Source organism: Homo sapiens, chromosome 6 (assembly GCF_000001405.40).
Source record: "Homo sapiens chromosome 6, GRCh38.p14 Primary Assembly".
NCBI lineage: Eukaryota > Metazoa > Chordata > Mammalia > Primates > Hominidae > Homo > Homo sapiens.
In genome coordinates, this window is record NC_000006.12 from 71,469,045 (window position 1) to 71,489,391 (window position 20,347).

Consider the following 20,347-nt stretch of genomic DNA (forward strand, 5'->3'; position numbering starts at 1 on the left):
TTGGGATGATCTGAGAAAGAAGCTGCTGCTGGTAACAAATGAGGTGTCTTCTACATCTCCCCTGCCACATGTTTTGAAATTTGTGACTATCACTTGTCCTTTCATCAAAATGTTCGCAAAAGGAAAGTGTCAGAGTTCATACTTCTCTTTCCACATCACTGAGCACATGAAATGGAGGAGAAAACCCTTGCCACCCACAGAATTCCAAAGAGCTGAGTGCATGCTGCAGAACACACTGGAAAAGTAGGAAGAGAGAAAAAATAGCTCATAAATGAGCCCAGTAGAGAAGGGGGGAGGAAAAAGAGGCACGGGGGGAAAGAGACTGACCAAAATGGTAAAATTCCTTACCAGTGATGATGCACAAATCCACTCTCAGAAGGCAGGGTGCTTTTCACTAGTGAGTGGTCCATCTGATTAGAGTGATTGACATATACATGTAGGGAGGACTGGAGACCCCTCGTGTCTGTGGGACTCCCTGTGAACCTTCAGCCTTACTGGCTGCTCGTGGCCCTGTCCATTATGATTGACTGGTTTGGCTGTCCTGATTGGTCAGTGCCTGTACCCTGTCCATTCTGATTGGCTGGTTCAGCTGTCCTGATTGGTCGGAGCCTGTGCCCTGCTACCTGTTCCTTAGAATAATTATCACCTCTGTTCTTAGTCCAATCCGCTAAGAGAGCCCTGAAGCATTCTCTCACCACTCAGGGTACCTCTCCAGTTTCTCCCTGTGTTCCTCCTTCTGTGCTGCCATGTCCTCCTCCCTCCTCATTTGCCTTCTCTTCTGACTAGATGTTCATCTTTCTGGAGGCATCTGCCAGTCTCTGGGGTCTCTTAGTCCTCAGGAGTAAAGACAGAAAGGTAACCCAAGAACATGCACTTGAACTTTGTTGCTCCTTAGGAGAGACATAGTGTAATGTATACTTATTTTAGTCTTACCTTAACTTTCTTTTGAAAAAAGCCATCTGTTGTCACCCAAGTGCTTCTCATTTCTCTGGTTTCCAAGGCTCCCCTTTCTTTTGATAGTAACAGCCAGCTGAGTTCCCAACCTGCCTGACTGTAGGAATTCTAGGGCTGTTCCCCAACATTTCTGGGAATCCCTAGTGAGTGTCTAAATGCTGCATAAAGCTTCTCTGGCTTCCACTTGTCACTTGCTACCAGGGACCACCACTCTAAGGCCACACCCCACCAATTATCTCATTACGCTTTTCTAAGCTGCAGCCACTATTCCTTTAGTTCCCAAACACAAAGATATCGTGTTTGACAAAGTAAATGAAGACTTGCAAGATATGATAGGGGATTTATAATACAGAAGGGAACACCACTTTTAAAAAGTTTGTATAAATTTAAGGGGTGCACGTGCGATTTTGTTACCTTACTATATTGTGTAGTGGTGAACTCAGTGCTTTTAGTGTATCCACCACCAGAATAGTGTGCCTTGTATCCATTAAATAATTTCTCATCACCCACCCCCCCTTTCACCCTCCCCACCCTTCCTAGTCTCCCATGCCTATCATTCCACACTCTATGTCCACGTGTACACAGTATTTAACTCCCACTTAGAAGTTAGAACATGCAGTATTTGGCTTTCTGTTTCTGAGTTGGGAAAAAGAGTTTAACCTATCACTGTCAGAGTCTATATTATTTTTCAAAGGACCCCTTTGGTCTCTCCTTCTTGTCCCTGACAGTTGCCGTAGTGTGGCGCCCAACCATGGTCCATAGTTTCTTTCTTAGATTCTCTCCTCCTAAAATATAGAGCCCCAACTCCCTATATCTGGGCCTATAAGAGGAAACATTATTGGATATTATAATGGTCCTAGAAGTGTCATTCTGTCCTCCAAGAAGCCAACCATTGCTTGAAAAACAAAACAAAACAAAACCAGAACACAGAATGTATAAATTCCATTCAAAAGGATGGCATTTGAATGTTTCACCAGTCAGAACTTTCTCAAGGACTAAGTAAATTCATTACACATGCATGACTTAAAAAGGCCCTACAGAATGGTCTCTTTCTCACAAAGCAAGACTCTGCACAAAAGACAAATTTCAGCTCAACCCTTAGAGTCTCAGAAAGTTGGGAAATCTTTAGATCCAGTTTCAAGGACACCACCTCTTATACGTAATGGGTTTTTAAGTGATGCTACTGCTGAAGAGAAGATGAAAATAACTTCATTAAATAAAAAACTTATATCATAATGCTGAAACAGAATTATTTAAAGGCTAGTGATCCCTTTCTTCTTCTTCATTTTTATTTTTTGAGATGGAGTCTCACTCTGTCTCCCAGGCTGGAGTGCAGTGGCGCGATCTCAGTTCACTGCACCCTCTGCCTCTCAGGTTCAAATGATTCTCCTGCCTCAGTCACCTGAACAGCCATGATTACAGGCGCATACCACCACGCCTGACTAAGTTTTGTATTTTTAGTAGTGACAGGGTTTTGCCATGTAGGCCAGGCTGGTCTTGAACTCCTGACATCAAGTGATCTGCCTGCCTCAGCCTCCCAAAGTGCTGGCATTACAGGCATGAACCACTGTGCCCAGCCCATTTCTTCTTATACACCAAACTCTACTGCCACTAGTGGTGACTCTGTTATGTAATGGTGCTGCCTCTAAGAAAGAAGAATGACCTTTCTCAAATTATGGAGCTGAAGTAGAATTTCCTTCTCTCATGTTATCATGTTGGATCTAGTGAGTGTGATAAAATTAAATAATTAACAATATTTCTTCAGTCCTACATGTGCCAGGCATTGTGCTGGGAGTTCAGGATAAAAAGATAATAAAAGTGAATCACTATCTTTAAATTGCTTCCAGTCCAATAGGAGAAACAGACTTAGAGGTACATATTATCAGTAACGAAATTGTTTATAGGGTACAATGAATGCATTGTCAGTTCTGGGAGGGAGGAACAGAGGAAGAAAGATCTTTATTGAGTAGTTCATGTTTGAGTCCTGTTAATAAATGGTGCTTTCCAGGAAGACAATGTTAGGGGTGTTGGGGGTGCATTTTCAGATGTGTCTGCAAGTGAAGTGTGTGACAAAGCATGCATGTGAACCCTTGCCTAATTTTATCGGACAACCTTCAACTTTCTCCACTTACTGGGACTCTCCCATTGTAACTTAATGTTTCTAACATAATATAACATGATAGGATTTGGAGATGATACCTTGTTAAAACCAAATAGAATCAGCTTTAGGGTTCAGAATGACACATTCCTGCAGCAGGTGAAGGGATTCCTCCTATTTTTCCGTCCCATATCCCACTCTTTATTGTATTATACATGCTACTCTCTCTAAATGCTAATGATAAAAAATCAAATCTATGACCAAGGTGGGAGAAAATGAAGATTGGCTAATTATGTCAGTGATAGATCTATATTTACTCAGAAAAGCCATGACTGAACTAAATTATGAGTCCTGTCTGTCAAACTGCACAATATAGAGTCAAGTTGCTGATTTCAGAATTTATAACATATACTGTTTTTCCATGTGAACTTATTCATAGAAGGGAAAATTTTTAAGATGCTATCCCAGTATAAATTTATAAATGCTCCACAGCTTGAAACATATTTCCACTATGTAAATAAAATTTATGAAGGATGTGATAATTATTATGCATTGCAAGTCTGTATCAAAACATCTCATGTACCCCATAAATGTATACGCCTACTATGAACTTATAAAAATTAAAATTAAAAATTAAAAAAATTATGAAGAATAAAAGCTAGGTGAAATGTGTCTAATATATTAAATTTCAAATGTCCCTTGTCCTATGGTAGAGGTCTGTAGAAAATTCTAGAATTTGCATGGGCTGTATCCTTCACTGTATGTAAGTGTGCTAGTTTCTATTATACCTGTGATATTTTAATGAGAGATCCAGGTCTCATCAGTAAAGAAATGGGTTTTGGCTCACACCTTGACTATGTATAAACTGAACTTTCTTAGTGTCCATATCTCTGCAGTAAGTATATTTTTAGGTAGAAATAAACCTGCATCTAATTGTGATTAAGGTAAAAAGTTGTGGAAAGCAGTGAAGAAAGGTGTTGCTCCCTTTGCAATTAACCAGTCACAATATATTCAGCAGCCTTTATGTGCTCAGTACTTTGCTAGGCTCTTCGAGAGATGAAAAGAAAAGTTGGTCAAATAGCAGGCCATTCTTTTACCCACATCCCTTTTCTGGGTTCCCATCTTTCAGTAAAAATCAAATGCTAAGGGGCACTGCACAATTTGTGCTCTAACCCCTGTATCTCAATGTGACCCCATTTCTTTCTGCTTTTCCTCTAGCTTAGGGCATTTTGGCCATACTGAACCCCTTACTTTCCTCGAACATGAGAACATTCTTCTGCTGTGGAGGGCTACGATGCTGGTCTTTCCATCTCCAAGCTCTTTTCCCTGATATCCTCATGGCTTACCTCTTTGGGTCCTACCTCAAATGTCATCTTAGTAAAGGCTCCCCCACACGGTATTTAAAATTTCAACATAGCACCCCACCCCCATTATTCTGCACTTCTTTCTTCATCCTCTGCTTCAAATTTCTTCATTGCCCTTATCACTATCTATCATACTAAGTATTTTTTCTCTTTCGTTTATTGACTCTCCCTAGAATGTAGGACAAAGATCTTTTAACATTTGTTCCCACTGCTGCATGCCCAGAGCCTGGAACAGTATCTGGCACATCATAGGAGCTCAACGAATTGTTAATTCATTGGATAAGTTTAGTTGCTGCTCTCAAGAATTGTGGTGCAAGGCTTAAAATTGGGGCTCAATATTATGTGCTGCCTTGACCTCTGGTAAAATTGGTGGGATCTCAAAGGGTCTAAGCATTGTTCCCACTCTTGTTCCTGTGGATATCGTCCCCCTAGTCAAACAACCCTCCTTATCAAACAGTCTGGATGCATTTCCTGCTTATTTCTGACTAGTGGGTTCCAGTTGTGGAATTGTTCAAACAAATCACTCATATACTCTCATGGGAGTCAGGGGGCACCTCATCCTCTTGACAGTACAAAGCCTGCCTCCCACAATCCTTGTCATCCACTCTGTTCCTGAGCACAGGCTCCATGTGACCCTGTTGGCATGGTGTCCCTCTCCCGTGGTCTGTGAGTACATATGACTAATACACTGCTGTTGATCTCTCTTGTCTAGTGTGAAGTATCATGTATTTGGCCATTCCCATAACACTACAGAGAAATCCTTTCCTCACCAATGGAGTGAATAGGAGGCAATTTTAAAATGAGGAATTGCAACGTAGTGTGTGAGGCAAGATATATGCAGTAATCAAGAATAGAATTAGGAGTGTGCAAGCAAGTGGCAAATTATGTGATGCTAACTGAAAGTACCAAGGAAATTCAGAAATGTTTGCATACATAAATAATTTTAGTTTAGTAAACAAAATATTTAACGAAAAAAGTTTAAAGACTTTGAAATAGGAATAAAAAAGATTAGCAAGTGTTCTATTTAGTGCATTCTTCTGGGTTATCTCTGCCTTCCACTGTCTTTGGACTACTTTACAACTCAGAAAGTTGTAGAAAACTGGTAAAAATGCATATGACTCTTGTCCATAGAAATAAAAATTAATTATATCTGCTAAAATGCAGTAGTCTATTGCCCTATGAACAGACCCACTTTGCATCTGTTTGTTATTTCACTTCAAAGTTCCTTACTGTATATATATTTGTATGAATGGATATATATATATATATATATATATATATATATATATATATATATCTCCTTGGGATTCTTCTTTGAACCAGTTGTAACATTTTCCTTATTAATTGATGAGTGAAATAAAGTTTGTGACACATGTTCATTTTATACTTTATAAGAGTCATTATTTTATCCTTTAAACAATCATCCTTTAACCATGCCATTTCTACTAAAACATGAAAAATAGTGTCTTTTATCCTTATTCTTGTCATTAGCTAGAGAACACTTAACATTTTGAACAATATGATAAATTATAATGAAATTAAGCATGGGACATTATGATTATGTCTACCTGAAAGCAAACATCTGGAGGAAACATGAACATTTCAGGCAGCCAAAATTCAGATGGCTGGATCTCAGTAGATGAAACATCTGGATTTTGTGAATTGATTAATTTCCATCCGGCTTTTCTATTTTGGCTTCATTTAGACATAGCTTTTGTCCTGACCCCAAACTTTTTCCTGGCACTATGCAAGCAGTATTCTCTGTTGTGTAGAAAGAATTTATATTTATTTTGTTTTCTACCTTTTTTCATGCCTCCACATGGCATACAAGATAATAGCCTCTATTTTTACTTAATTATTACTTAAAACTATTGTCTGAAGCCATCAATGAGGACAAAGGAAAATAAAGACTAGTTTGTATTTAGTGTACCTGAGAAGTAATTTTATTCTGGTCTTTGGCCATGCAATTATAGGGAGACCGTTTCATTTATTTTTGTATAATTGTGTGGGTTCCCCTTACATGAGAACTATTTCTGCTACATATTCCTCTATACATATACAAACAAAAAATGTATTTTGTATTTAGCGTCATGTTCCTGCAAAGAGAAAAATAAGGAAAAAATCTGCAAAACATTGAAGACTCATGACCCACTTTAAAAACATAACTGGATACATCACATGAACTCAAGACCATGACTATGGAGGAAGGTAATGACCCAAAAGTATAACTGGACCTGAAAGTACAACGGAGCATTCCTTTTAGTTCCTTGAATATTGACTCTACGTAGCCAAAGCCAAACTGTAAAATTGATGACTTTCATTTTTATTTTCTATTATAGATTTAACACTTGGCAACTCTTACAACAACAACAACAGCAACAGGGAAAAACAACAACAACAACAACCGAAGAGTGCAAAAAGAACTAATGCAGTGAGTTGTCCCAGTTTATATTCAGTTCCAGTTTATATTCAGTTTTGTCAGTTTGACCTTCACAGGTCTGTAATTACGGTAATCACAGAGTACTGAACGTGCTAACAATCAAAGCATCCCAATTTGAACAGTTCAACAATAGCCTTTTTAATAGGGGTAAAACCGTGCCAGAAAAACTGCAAGGCTGCTTCAGCCTTTCCTGAAGATGTTGGATAATGGGGAGCAGGTATCAAACAACTCACCTCTTAAAAATATGCTGCACAGAGAGATTGACTCCAGCTGTTACTGATAGAACCACTACATGGCTACAAAGAGGGTTGTCTTCATCCCTTTGTGGCTCTGATTCTTCCTAATGTTGCCCAATGATGTGGACAAAGTATTATTTCCTTTAAGACCTTCACTTTGAACACCCAACAGTGCCTATGACATTTTTAAAGGTCAAAAAAAAATTAGCAAAATAGGTAAGAATGAGTTTGGTCAATATGCATTGCTGGTATTAGGAACTTTTTCTCCCTAAGTTAGAGGGAGAACCTCACTGATTACAAGCTTCTTAACCTCATGCTTGCTCTCTCTCTCTTTTTTTAAATTTCTTCTCCTAGTTGCCACAGATTTACTCTGAATTATCTATTATATCTTTCTCAATACTTTTTGGACAAAAATAGACATTTATAAGACTCTGGCTAAGATTAGGAGAATAATCTTTGGTTATGAAACAGTGCTGGTGATTCATGTTATTGTTGTTTTATATTTGTTAACTGGTTCTTATGTGAATTACAATCTATATACCTGTTCTTGTAACAATTTTAGAACGTCCAGGTTCAAAAGAAATTAGAAACCATCTAGCGTATACTTTTAATTATTTTTTCCTTTTCGCTCGTGGATATTTTTAAACAAATTAAATCAGTGTATAAAAACAGGTAAAATCAAAGCTTCTCCGAGCCCAGATGTCCAGATTCTCATCTGCTAAGAGTCTCTTTTATCAATGGTCCCTATCCTGTGACAGGTATAACAGAACTCCAAAGCTCCATGGAACCTAGCTCTAAAGCCTATGATTTAATCCAAGCTTTCAATGGCTGGAGAGATAAAGTGACTTAGCCAAGGTCACTCCTAACTTCTGGATTCGCATTTCTCTGACCTGCTGAGTCAACCTGAAGTGAGCACCAAAAATATTTTAGCAAGCACTTACTTGTCATTCTGTAACATTTTTCCACTGGCTTACCCTGGCTGTTCTACTCCTAAAGATAATCAAGTACTTTCTCAGTGACTTTGGCTACAGTGGAAGCAGGACTAGCCAAATCAACACTGTGGGGTAGTGCCCACCTTCCAGAACCAGCTTTGGTTAGAAAAGGGAGGGGATGATCATAGGATTTACGGCACTAAAAATGAGAACCACTTTTCACTGAGGGTAAGCAGTGCACACACACTGTGGGATGCTTGTCTAGGTTCAGAAATAACCTCCTGAAAGCCTGACCTCTCTCACTGCCAGAGTGCAGTGTGTGGGGGCCAAATAAGAACATTGCAAACTTTGTATCTCCACTGTATTTGTCTGAAGGTGTGGAAAATTACCCTGCTTGCCTGGGCCACTCAGACTGTCTTTGTTAAACAATCTCACAAGCTCTGTAGAGAGTGGTTAGATAGTGAATTCACTGGAGATCCTTATACTTTTATTAAGACTCACCTCTTATTTACTATCAAGGAAGGTAACGATTGGGGCCACTTGAATATGAAGGCTGTATGTTGCACTACTTCTGAGTCCAGAAGAGCCATTAAACTAGGAGCAGTTTAGGTTAAATTGACTGTCACAACAAAGTCAATGTCACAACAAAGAGACAGATAGGGGAAAGGAGAACTAAGGTTTATTGAGCAGCTACTTTGCAACACTCACTCTTCTAATATATTTCCCCTACTAGTTCTGCAATTCCCCAAGTACTTGTGGTCCTGAGTTAAGGCATTAAAAATCACAGTTAAATGCAAATGTTATCAAAGCACCTTATTGCATCCAGCCCAGCTTAGTTAAATAGCACCAATATCCACCCAGTTGCTGAAGCCAAAATCTTAGAGTTATCCTTGATTCTCTCCATCCATTCATATAATTTATTATTAAGATGCATCAAATCCACCTTAAAACATCCCAAATCTGCCTTCTTGCCTCCATCATGATGACCTCTCACCTGGGTTGCTACGGTGCCTTTCTACTTAGTCCATTTGCTTTACACACTTTATGAATACTTATAATAACCCAGTATGAGAGCCACTATTACAGCCCTGTGAAACACAAGTATCAGGAGCACAGAGGATCAGGATCACAGACCTATAGCTACCTGGGTATTAGGTCTGTCTGGCAACACTCACTGCAGAGTCACTTAATAGAATTTTGAAAGAAGTTAAGTAATGTTAGTCATTTTGAAATTCACAATTCACAGACTATAAAGAGAAATAAGAGTTCATAAGACTGCCTTGTCTATGTTCCTCAAAACACTACAATTTAATCAAAGGCAAAAAAAATACCACTTGAAGGTCCCAGCTTGCTAATGTATTGTTAAATAAATTACCACCTTTGAGGACTAAGCCAAATGTGCAATTTGTAAGCCAAATGTAGCACTTTTTTTTTTCCAGGATGAGTGGGTCAAAATACATCGGTAATTAGAACAAAAGAAAACTTCAGTGTTTCTAAAATACAACTGAGTGAATTCCCCCAAATTAAGTTATATTATTTATTTTGAGGAAATAACAAACTGTAGCTAGCTATCGAGCAAACTTTTTCTATATGCATCTAGTAGCTAATGTTTCCAAAGGAAGGAAATAGTTATGAATATTGTATGAAATGTTTTGCTCTGACACTCTGATATTCTGAAGTCCTTATACTAATCACTACTTGGTACTGCTCTATTTATGTCTGTTGTCTCAAAGTGGTGGAAAAGTGGCCTGTAGGAATGAGGAAAACTGATGTACAAAGTGAGGAAGGAAATTTTAAATACAAAGCAATTTCACTAATAAAATGCTCAAGCAGTCTAGAGTAATTTGGGTACTTGGTGAATCATTGCTTAGCAATTCATGAATACTGTGGGTGCTTGGAATTCAATTCCATTGTCCTCTATCTGAATTGCTATGAAAAAGGTCACATGAGAAGGAAAGGAAGTTTTGACTTTCACATGCCTGTTATTGCTAAGGAAACCACTTCCTCAGTATTCACATATTCAGCATGTCTCTAGTTTTGGCTTCCATACAAATTACATCTTGGTGTTGCATTAAGAAACAAACAAGGGTGGAGAATATTTTAAAAACTCAACTCAACTATGATATGTTCACAGAACAAAAAGAGGAGCCCTTTTAAACGCCCTTTCTTTTCTGAAGTTCTCTAGGTATGCCTGGATGGAGCCTCTAAGACCTAACAGGATGTCTGAGATTCCAGGGAAGTGGCCTGTGATCTGTCAGTAAACAAATAAGAAGCTAATACAGCTTTGTTGTGTTTTCTGATTGGCATGGTTCTGAACTATCTCCTACTTGTAGTTGCAGACAAAGAAACAGGAGATGAATTACCATGTTCTAGGACTTTGTGTTCCTTTCCAATTCAAACTGCAATAAGAAATAAAAATGGTTAGGCTTCCAGTGTGTAGATTATATAACGTGTCTCCTCTCTTTTGTGGTTTTGTCTTGTTTTGTTTTTTGTCTTTTAAAGAGAAAAATGAATAAAATGAAGGGATATTTTAGAATGACTGGCTCCCTCAATGGGCCTTATTGCAAGTACAGCTGAACCCTGGCTCTTTTGGTTCAAGAATATCTTTACTATTTGACGGTTTCATTGTTTTTATTTATATTTCTATTTTTGACCCAAACAGAAAGATCTTGTATAAGCTACCTGTTTATCCATTGTAGAAATGCAACTATTTTCAATTCTCCCTGCTGCTGAGAATAATAATGAGGATCCAGAAGATCACAATTCTGAGATATCTGAGATTTATCTGCCTGAATAGCCTGGTTCTCTCTCCCAGCATTAGGATTTATAGTTCATCTTCTGCCTTTTTGTTTTCAAACTTGTTCATGAATCATAGGTTCAGAACAAAACTGTACTATTATTAAGAGCAATCTGCAAACAACTACTCTATAGTGAACTTATAACAGAAGAGTGCTCATTTGATATTACATGGTGGCAACTATGAAAGAGGCAACTGTTAGTTATAACAAAGCTGGAAGGGATAGGATTAGGTGAATATTTGGGAAATTTTATACTAACAGAGTTAATATCAAGTGGACACCTAAAACATTTAAAATGCATGGCCTTAGAAATCATGAATTTAATTTTGATTTTTAGTATACAAGAAAGGAATATATTTATAGATTCATAGAGGAAATACAGAAAGAAACTTAGTTATTAATTTATTTATGATCCTCTATGCATATGCCCCAGATATTGCACCAAAGCACTCTATTTCTGGGTTGAGTCTATGAAAAATTTGTAACCACGATTGTACATCTTGATTTCATTATGAACTGGGATGATGATAATCATGATGATGATAATGATGATGATGATATTTCTGTAGTAATAATAATAGCTAATGTATATTGAGAATTTACTAAGAACTAGTCATTGGGGTGAGCATTTTACATATACCATCTCATTTAATCCTCACAACAACCCTGTGAGATTGGTACTATTATCCCTGATCTTCATAAGAAGAACTGAGGCTCAGAGAGGTTAAATAAATGCTTAAGTTCACTCATCTAGTAAGCAACAGGGATAAGATTTGAAAACTGGTGGTCTCTCCCCAGAGTCTGACTTCTTAATCATTAGGTGTCTGTAAAGAGAAGGCCTTTCACATAGACTAATTTGAGATGCCAAAAGGCTAAAGGAAGGAAAGGATCCCACCCCTTCCTGCCCCAGCAAGTGCATGTGTATTGCTTGTATGTGATTGTTTTGAACTTAAAGAGGCAGATACCACAGTCCTCTGGATAGGGAAGGGGTTATCCCCAGCATCATTCATTCAAGAAAGGGGATGCCTTGAGTAAGAGAAAGAGGGAGAATTTGAACACCAGGCTAGATGAAAGGAGAGGTCTTGGACTGAGTGTTTGGACGGTGGATGTGCTAAGATAACAGGGACTCCCAACACCCCACTATCTCCACCTCCTGAGGAAGGATAAGGAATTTAAAAGAGATCTATAGTGGACAGAAAGTTGGGGAAAAGTTATGTCTCGGTAAACTAAAAAATTGAGTTTCATGGTATGTCTTACATCTGTTTCATATTTAAATGTTCATGCTGTGTCAAAGACATGCTCAAAGATACCAAAGGAAGAGTCATATTTGGATCAAGCATTAAAGGAAAATCAGGATTTCCCCTTCCTTCTTGCTCTTTGGGCCAAAGAGAAGATTTTGCCAAGTGGAGGGGTGAATCTAGCAGGAAAAGGTCATATCACCTCATGCCATTGAGGAGGTCCAGCTTTCATTGCCAAATTCAGAAAATCAGTTTTGCTTTCTTTCTTTTTTTTTTTTTTTTAAAGGAAGGAAACATTCTCCTCTCAGCATTTCAAAAGTATTTCCCCTACTATTTCTGCAATCTCCTAAATATTCATGTTCCTGCTAAAGACATTAAAGGCCACAATTAAATGCAAATGTTATCGAAACACCTTAGTTGACATTTAGCCCAGCTTAGTTAAACGGCACCAATTTCCACCCAGTAGCTGAAGCCAACGTCTGAGAGTTATTCTTGATTCCCTCATCTTTTCATTCCATGTGTCAATAAGATGTGTCAAACCCACCTTAAAACATCCCAAACCTGTCCTCTTCTCGCCATCATTCCAACCTCTTACCTGGGCTGCTGCAGTGCATTTCTCCTGGGTCCATTTCCTTCCACACTTGCCCCCTCTTAATTCATTCTCCACACTTCAGTTAGGGTGAACTTTTTACAACTTAATAAAATCATATCCCTCTGGTGCTCAAAATCCTCTAGTGTTTTCCCATTTAGAATAAATCCCAAACTCCTTACCCTAGCTTATAAAGCCTTCTATGATCTGGACCTGCCTATTCTTCAAAAGGCTTCTATTACTTGCCCCTTCAACCACCATACTCTACTGTGGACTATGAGCTGTTCTTCAAATATTCCAAGCTCATTCATGTGGTAGGGTACTCTGTACAAGTTGTTTCCCCTCCCTAGATTTTCTTTCTCCCTGTCTTCACATGGCTGGTCCCTTGTTGTTCAGATTTTACTTTTACTGTTAGCTCTTCAGAGAAGACTCCTTCAGCCTCCCCACTAATGTGGCTGAGTCACTCACATCATTGTCTGTTCCTCCTGCTAGAAGGGGCTTTATGAGAGTGGGGGCTACATCTGTCTCGTTCACTGTAGTATACTTGAGGCTGAGAAATGTGCTGCCACATTGGAAGATTTCTCTGAGTACCGGTGAAAGGAGAAACACACACTTATTATTAGCCATTATGATTCAGATCAATTCACATTATACCCAAGAAGGAATAGGACAGGGAAGTTTTTTACTGGGCATGAGGAGGGTGGAGATGATAATCAAATTCCATTTGTTTCACAATTAACATAGCTAGCCCTAAAGAATGGCAATAAAGATATTGATATTCAGGATTCTAAAGTTACTGTTTCCACCCCAGCAATGACTACTACATAGTCTAAAATACAGGTGCTAATTAATTCACTGTCTACATGTACCACTTAGGATTGGCTAGGATAGCATGGTGGCAACATGTAACCCCCAAACCTCTCAGTGACTTAAACAGTTGAAGTTTATTTCTTGCTAATGATGTATATTCATTACCTCTACATATTGTGGGCCCTCAGTGACCCAATCAGATGGAGGAGCTACCATCCTGAACTTGTGTGTGGCTGTGCCAAAAGGAAAGGGAAAGAGAGTGTGCAGTGAATTACACCCATCTCACCTCTGCTCACATTTTATTTGCCAGAGCAAGTCATGTTACCAGGAAAATTTGGCTGGGTGGGGAAATGCAGAATAGCACTAATGACTACCACTGGACATCTGTCTAGCTAACAAACATAAAGTTTTCTTTTCTTCCTTCACGATATGTACATTTACTGCCTCCCAGAGGCAGAACACGCTAAAGTGCCATTCAGTCACAGCACATGCAGGTCCAGTGTGGTTCCTTATGACCCAGAGATCTATGAACTATAAGACAAGTTACCTGTCCCCTATACATCTGATATGCAATGGCAAAAGCAAGAGCATGATAACTTCATAAATACTTCCATTCAGAAAGGGAAGGAAAGGGAGATACACAGGAATCACTGATCCATAGAAACCAAACGAATGTGCTGGGCAGAAGGGATGGTCCCCAGGTGATGGGAAATATTGCTTGATTAGGCTCCAAGTCTTCAACTCAAGAGAGATGAGCAGCTTTCCTACATTTGGCCTACAGAAGACTGGGGGCTCCAGGACAATTTAAAGTCTCACACAGTCACTTTGTCAGTCCAGGTTTGTTTCTTTTTCACCAGGATATCTTTTTAAAATATTGAATAAGTTTCTGTGTTGGTTATTCTCTGCCCTTTAAATATATTCCCTTCTCTGCCTTATTCTGTGTCCCAGGAGCTGACCTCTGTGGACTGCATTATCCAGAATTCCTTATACTCTGGATTTTTGTTGTTTGGGCAAGTGGCAGACACAGGTAGGAAATTGGAGGGCAGGATTTGAGAGGGAGAGAGGTTGCAGTATTTATCCCTATCCTGACATTCCCTTCCTCAACCTTTTCACAATCCTGGCAGTGGCTACCTTACTCAGCTGGTCTTAGCTCCTGTCTAAAGGTTTTTCTTCCCTGGCTCCAGACCTCACCAGGATCCTTCCACACAGTGCTGTCCCTTTGTCCTTGAGGCCTAGGGGTGGCAAAGGTTTCCTGTGGTTGCTAATTCCTGAGTACCTCATCATTCCTAATTGGTACCTTACCTCTGATATATTTCTGTAGACTACTTCTTTCATACATTTCCTTCAGTTACATAATTTGTGTATGCCATCTACTTCCTGCCAAACTGACAAAGCTTCATTTCTATTTGACTCAAACAACTAGATGTGTCAATGGCCACCCAAAGTTCTTCTCTTGACATATTTCTTAGATGTACCATATTTATATTCTTCCTTGCTCCCATGCCTCTCTCTTCCTCTTGACTTAATTTTGAAATCTTTGATGTCTGTGATACCTGGTCCAACTGAACTGAACCCATTTACTGGTTTTTGTGGAAACATCTTATTTCATTCAGTGATGTGATGGGCATTTCCTTTTTTATTTTTTGAGACAGGGTCTTGCTCTGTCACCCAGGCTGGAATGCAGTGGCAGTATCTCCACTCATGAAACCTCTGCCTGCCGGGTGCAAGAGATTCTCCTGCTTCAGCCTCCTGAGTAGCTGGGATTACAGGCGTGTGTCACCAGGCCCGGCTAATTTTTGCATTTTTAGTAGAGATGGGGTTTCACCATGTTGGCCAGGCTGGTCTCGAACTCCTAGCCTCAAGTGAGCCACCTGCCTCGGCCTCCCAAAGTGCTGGGATTACAGGTGTGAGCCACTGCACCTGGCAGCCATTTCCTTTTATTAGTTGGTTAGGGCTGCTATCACAACATTTTAGACTGAGTGGTGTAAACCACAGAAATGTATATTCTCACAGTTCTGGAAGCTGAAAGTCTAAGATCAAGGTGTGGGCAGTTTGCTTTCTCCTGTGGCCTCTCTCCTGGGCTTGCAGATGCTTGCCTTCTTGCTGTATCCTTACATGGTCTTTTCTCTGTGTATGTATTTCTAGTGTATTAGGGTTCTCCAGAGAAACTGAACCCATAGAGAATCTGTCTGTCTATCTATCTATCTATCTATCTATCTATCTATCTATCTATCATCTATCTATCATACAGAACTGGCTCACATGATTATGGAGACTGAGAAGTCCACAGTCTGCCATCTACAAGCTGAAGACTCAGGAAAGTGGGTGATACAATTCAATCTGAGTTCAAAGGCCTGAGAACCTGGAGAGCCAATGATGCAAATCCCAGTCCTAGGGCAGAAGATAAGATGAGATGTCTCAGCTTAAGCAGAGAGTCAGGAAAAATGGGTTGAATTCCCCCTTCCTTTGCCTTTTGTTCTGCTCAGGCCCACAACACATAGAATGACATTCAGCCACATTGGGAGGGCAATCAACTTTGCTGAGTCCACTGATTCCAGTGCTAGTTTCATTGAGAAACACTCTCCCAGACACACTCAGAAAAATGTTTAATATGGGTCACCCAGTGGGCCACTCAAATTGGTACATAGAACAACTCTCACACCCAGTGTTTCTCTCTCCTTATAAGAACTAGATTGGATTAGGGCCCCACCAAAACAGCTTCTTTTAACTTAATCACCCCTTTAAAGGCTATATTCCCAAATAGGGTTACATTCTGAGATGCTAGAGGTTGGAACTTCAACATGTGAATCTTGAAGGGTATAAAATTCATCCCATAACATCCTTGATATGATCCTTGACCCAAGGCAGAATTCCAGGTGACCTTTGCTTCAAAGCCTCTAGTTTCATCTTTTAACTGTTGAAGAGATAAAATCACCTTCTGCAATCCTGCAGGTTCCCAAATTCCTGGCCACTTCCTTTTTTTTTTGAGACAGTCTTGCTCTGTCGCCCAGGTTGTAGTGCAGTGACGTGACCTTGGCTCACTCCAACCTCCACCTCCCGGGTTCAAGCAATTCTAGTGCCTTAGCCTCCCGAGTATCTGGGACTACAGGTGCGCATCACCATGCCCGGCTAATTTTTGTATTTTAGTAGAGATGGGGGGGTGGTTTCACTATGTTGCCCAGGGTGGCCTCAAACTCCTGAGCTCAAGTGATCCGCCTGCCTCGGTCTCCCAAAGTGCTAGGATTACAGGCATGAGCCACTGCGCCCAGCCCCTATTTTCTTTTATTGATGTTTAAAACCTCCCTGATTGTTTCTGAAGTCATCTCTTTTTGTGGTGCCCTGTCAAACACAGTCATGCATCGTTTAATGACAGGGATATGTTCTGAGAAATGCATTGTTTGATGATTTTGTTGTTGTGTGAACATTACAGGATGTACTTACACAAACCTAGATGGTAGAGCCTACTACACACCTAGGCTATATGGTATAGGCTATTGCTCTTAGGCTATAAACCTGGACAGCATGTTACTGTACCGAATGCTGTAGGCAATTATAATGCAGTGGTAGGTATTTGTATATTTAAACATATCTAAATATAGAAAAGACACGGTAAAAATACATTATAATCATGTAGGACTGCTGTTATATATGTGGTCTATTGTTGACTGAAACATCATTATGCAGTGCATGACTGTACAGCCAATTATAATCAATACATATCACTAACACTGTTTTCCTATCTTATTCTCTAGAGCTACATTTTCTATCTTCCATATTATCCCAGGCAACAGTTTTACCAACTGTTTTGCTACTGCATTACAACGATCACTATCATTCTCGTCTCCAGTGGCAGTTTGCTTGCTGTCTACTGCCCGGTTGTTAGCCTCTACCATATATTTTAGGCTTATTTGCTATGGTAGCACTCATGTCTAGGTACTTATTTCTGTATCATTCAAGATAGATGTTTTGCTGCCATAAAAATACACATTCCTTTCTTGCTTTGTTACTTGTCTGTCAGGTCTAAAATGGGTCTCTGGTAGTCACCCAGGGACCTAGACTGATGGAGAACCACATTCCTGAACATGCCCATGTGCTATGCCAGAGGGATAAGAGAGCCACTGCATCTTAAAACCTCTCCTCAGATATAGCACACGTCACTTTTTAAAAATAGTTTTTTGACCAAAGTGAGTCACTTGGGTGCTTTTCATTTAAAAGGGGCAGGAAACTACAGCCTTACCATCTGCTTGAGGAGAAAACCCCAAATTTTGGGTGAACAGCACTAATGATTTCTGCACAGCACCGATGCTCAGTACTTGGTATTTACTTCTGGAAATTTAGAAAAAGTAAACATTTAAGATCATCTGTGGCATAAATCATAGGTCCATGACAGTATTTTTGTTTTATAGATTCTGGGCCACTATTTCTCCCCTCACACACGCAAAAACAATATCTAGTTCCCTAAGGCCACAGAATTACATATTCAGCTCTATGGGTGTCAGCTGCCTATTGTGTGTCATTTAGTAATTTCCATACCTTTTCTTTTTTACAACTAAAGAAGTCCAAAAAGAGGTGTGAAAAGTCAGGTGAAACTCTCTTATGCTTTATTGTTCTTATGATACATATGATATGTGTCTTATTCCTTTCCAAATGCATTTTAAAGTGAAGTCATATTTCAATTTGTCATTTTCATAAAGCAAGAAAGATAGCATTTATTGTCATGCATGGCCAAGCAGACTGGCAGATGCCACTAACAAATGGTAAAAAATTCTTCTATGGCTCATTATTTCTATAAAGGCTCTATTTTTTGGTTATTATTTCTGAAAAAGACCATAAACCCAACTATAAATGACAAAAAAATACAGTGGCCATCAAACCCAATTACAGTGTGTCTTTAGAGAGCTAGTGAATAAGTGAAGTTAATCACAATACCTCATATTCTGAAAAGACCTCATCACCCAGGGTACGAATTAAAGTAGTTTCCAGTCTAAAATAGATGTGTCTGTAACAGGAATCACTAACAGTGGGTTAAAAATAGAACCAGGTACAAAACCTACAGTGGAAGAGTATGCATAAAATTAGATTGTTTTGATTAGGTACATCCTTTTCTCAGAAGCTTCTCCAGGAATAAATTACTTTGCTAAAAGTCTTTTCCCTATTATTCCATCCCTGTCTCCGACTCCAAGTGATTTTTCTAAAATACAAATCTGATCTTGTCATTTCTCTACTTAAAATTAGTCCATACAGAACTAGGTTGCTATCAGGAAAGAGTCCTGACTCCTTAACTCCTCAAGGTTTAATGCCTTAACCTCTGTAGACCAACCTATTAATGTCTGCTCTGGATTGAATATTTATGTCCCTCCACAAATTTATATCCTAACTCCCAAGATGATGATAGTAGGACGTTAGGCTTTTGGGAGGTGATAAGTTCATGAGGGCAGGGCCTCATTAATGGGATTAGTGCTCTTATAAAAGAGGGCTCAGAGAGCTTGTTTGCTCCTCTACCATTTGAGGACACAGTGAGAAGGTGCCATCTATGAATCAGAAAGAGGGCCTTCATCAGACACTAACTCTGTCAGCTTCTTGGTCTTGGGCTTCCCAGCCTCCAGAACTGTGAGAAATATATTTCTGTTCCTTTGTTTTGGTACTTTGTAACAAAGCAGTCTCAACAGACTAAGACAATGTTCCTCTTCATACACTGGTGTCCCAGCCATTAAGCTAATTGCTATGTTTCAGCACTGTTAAATGAAGTTTAGCCTTAAGCTGCCTCCTTATGTATTTTAAGTTGGGTCTAAAGCTTTCTCTGAACATCGTGAACTATAACCTACAAGGAGTTGTATACAGACTGTAGTCTATGCCTGTGCCAATCACCAAGTTCCTCAAAGGTGGCCAGCTGTTCAAATTGTGTTCAGATAAGGCAAACGTCGAGCTGTAACCAATCCAGCTGTCTCTATCTTACTTTCCTTTTCTGTATGTCATTTTCCTTTTTCTGTCCATAACTCTTCTTCCACCATGTTGGCTGTGCTGGAGTCTCTGAGCCAACTCTGGCTCGACAGGCTGCCTGACTTGCCAATCATTCTTTGCTCAGTTAAACTCTTTTAAATTTAATTTGGCTATAGTTTTTCTTTTAACAGCTGCATCCTTAACATTTGCTAGTCTCTTGAAGCTCTACTTAAGTGTTCCCTCTGCTCAGAAGTCCCCTTTGTTTTTAATTCCTCTAGGCCCTATCATCACCTCTAAGCATTTATTATTCATTATTGAGGTGGGTAATTTACATGTTTCTTCAGTTTTCTAGATTTGGGGCAACTTGAGTACAGCAATTTTGTCTTATAAAATAAATGCATGTGTGTTTATAGCCCATCCCATTTTTACAAAGGCTTTAAGGAGAACAGTCTTACTTGTGTCTCTTGTTTTTTTATATCCTAAGAGAAATACTCATTTTTTTTTCTCATGTAACTTAGGCTATAGTGTTAAGTCAGATTACAGTGAAACAAATTTCTCACAGGGAGAATTTTTTTTTATATATATATAGTTTATAAAGGTTCGCAAAGGTATTCTACTAAGGTGGCATGTTGTTGAGGTCAAGCCCTTGGAGAAAGAAATGTTTGTGTCTCAGCATGTAGGTTGGCAGTATCTTATTTTCCAAATGAATATTGGTGTTAACCATCCCATGAAAATACTCTTTCTAAAAACATAACTTGTAGAGTTATATTATATTCTGTCAAAATGTGTCTTAAGTATTATATGGAATGCCCACGAGTTCCCTTGGTTGGGGCCATTGTATGATTCTCTCTCGTATGCACAACGTGGGGGAGATGAAGTTGGGGAGGTGTACCATGAAACTACATGTATTTTAAGTTGGGCCTAAAGGTTTCTTTTTACATCATGAAC

General features: G+C 39.2%; 1 long non-coding RNA gene across 1 annotated transcript; it reads left to right on the forward strand.

The window, feature by feature from the left end:
* The first annotated feature begins 693 nt into the window (after nt 1-693).
* LOC105377853 (uncharacterized) lies at nt 694-10,468 on the forward strand. The gene is made up of 4 exons (XR_942683.3): nt 694-855; nt 6,503-6,624; nt 6,756-6,847; nt 10,202-10,468. It is a non-coding gene; the product is annotated as an uncharacterized LOC105377853 (long non-coding RNA).
* Nucleotides 10,469-20,347: the final 9,879 nt, after the last annotated feature.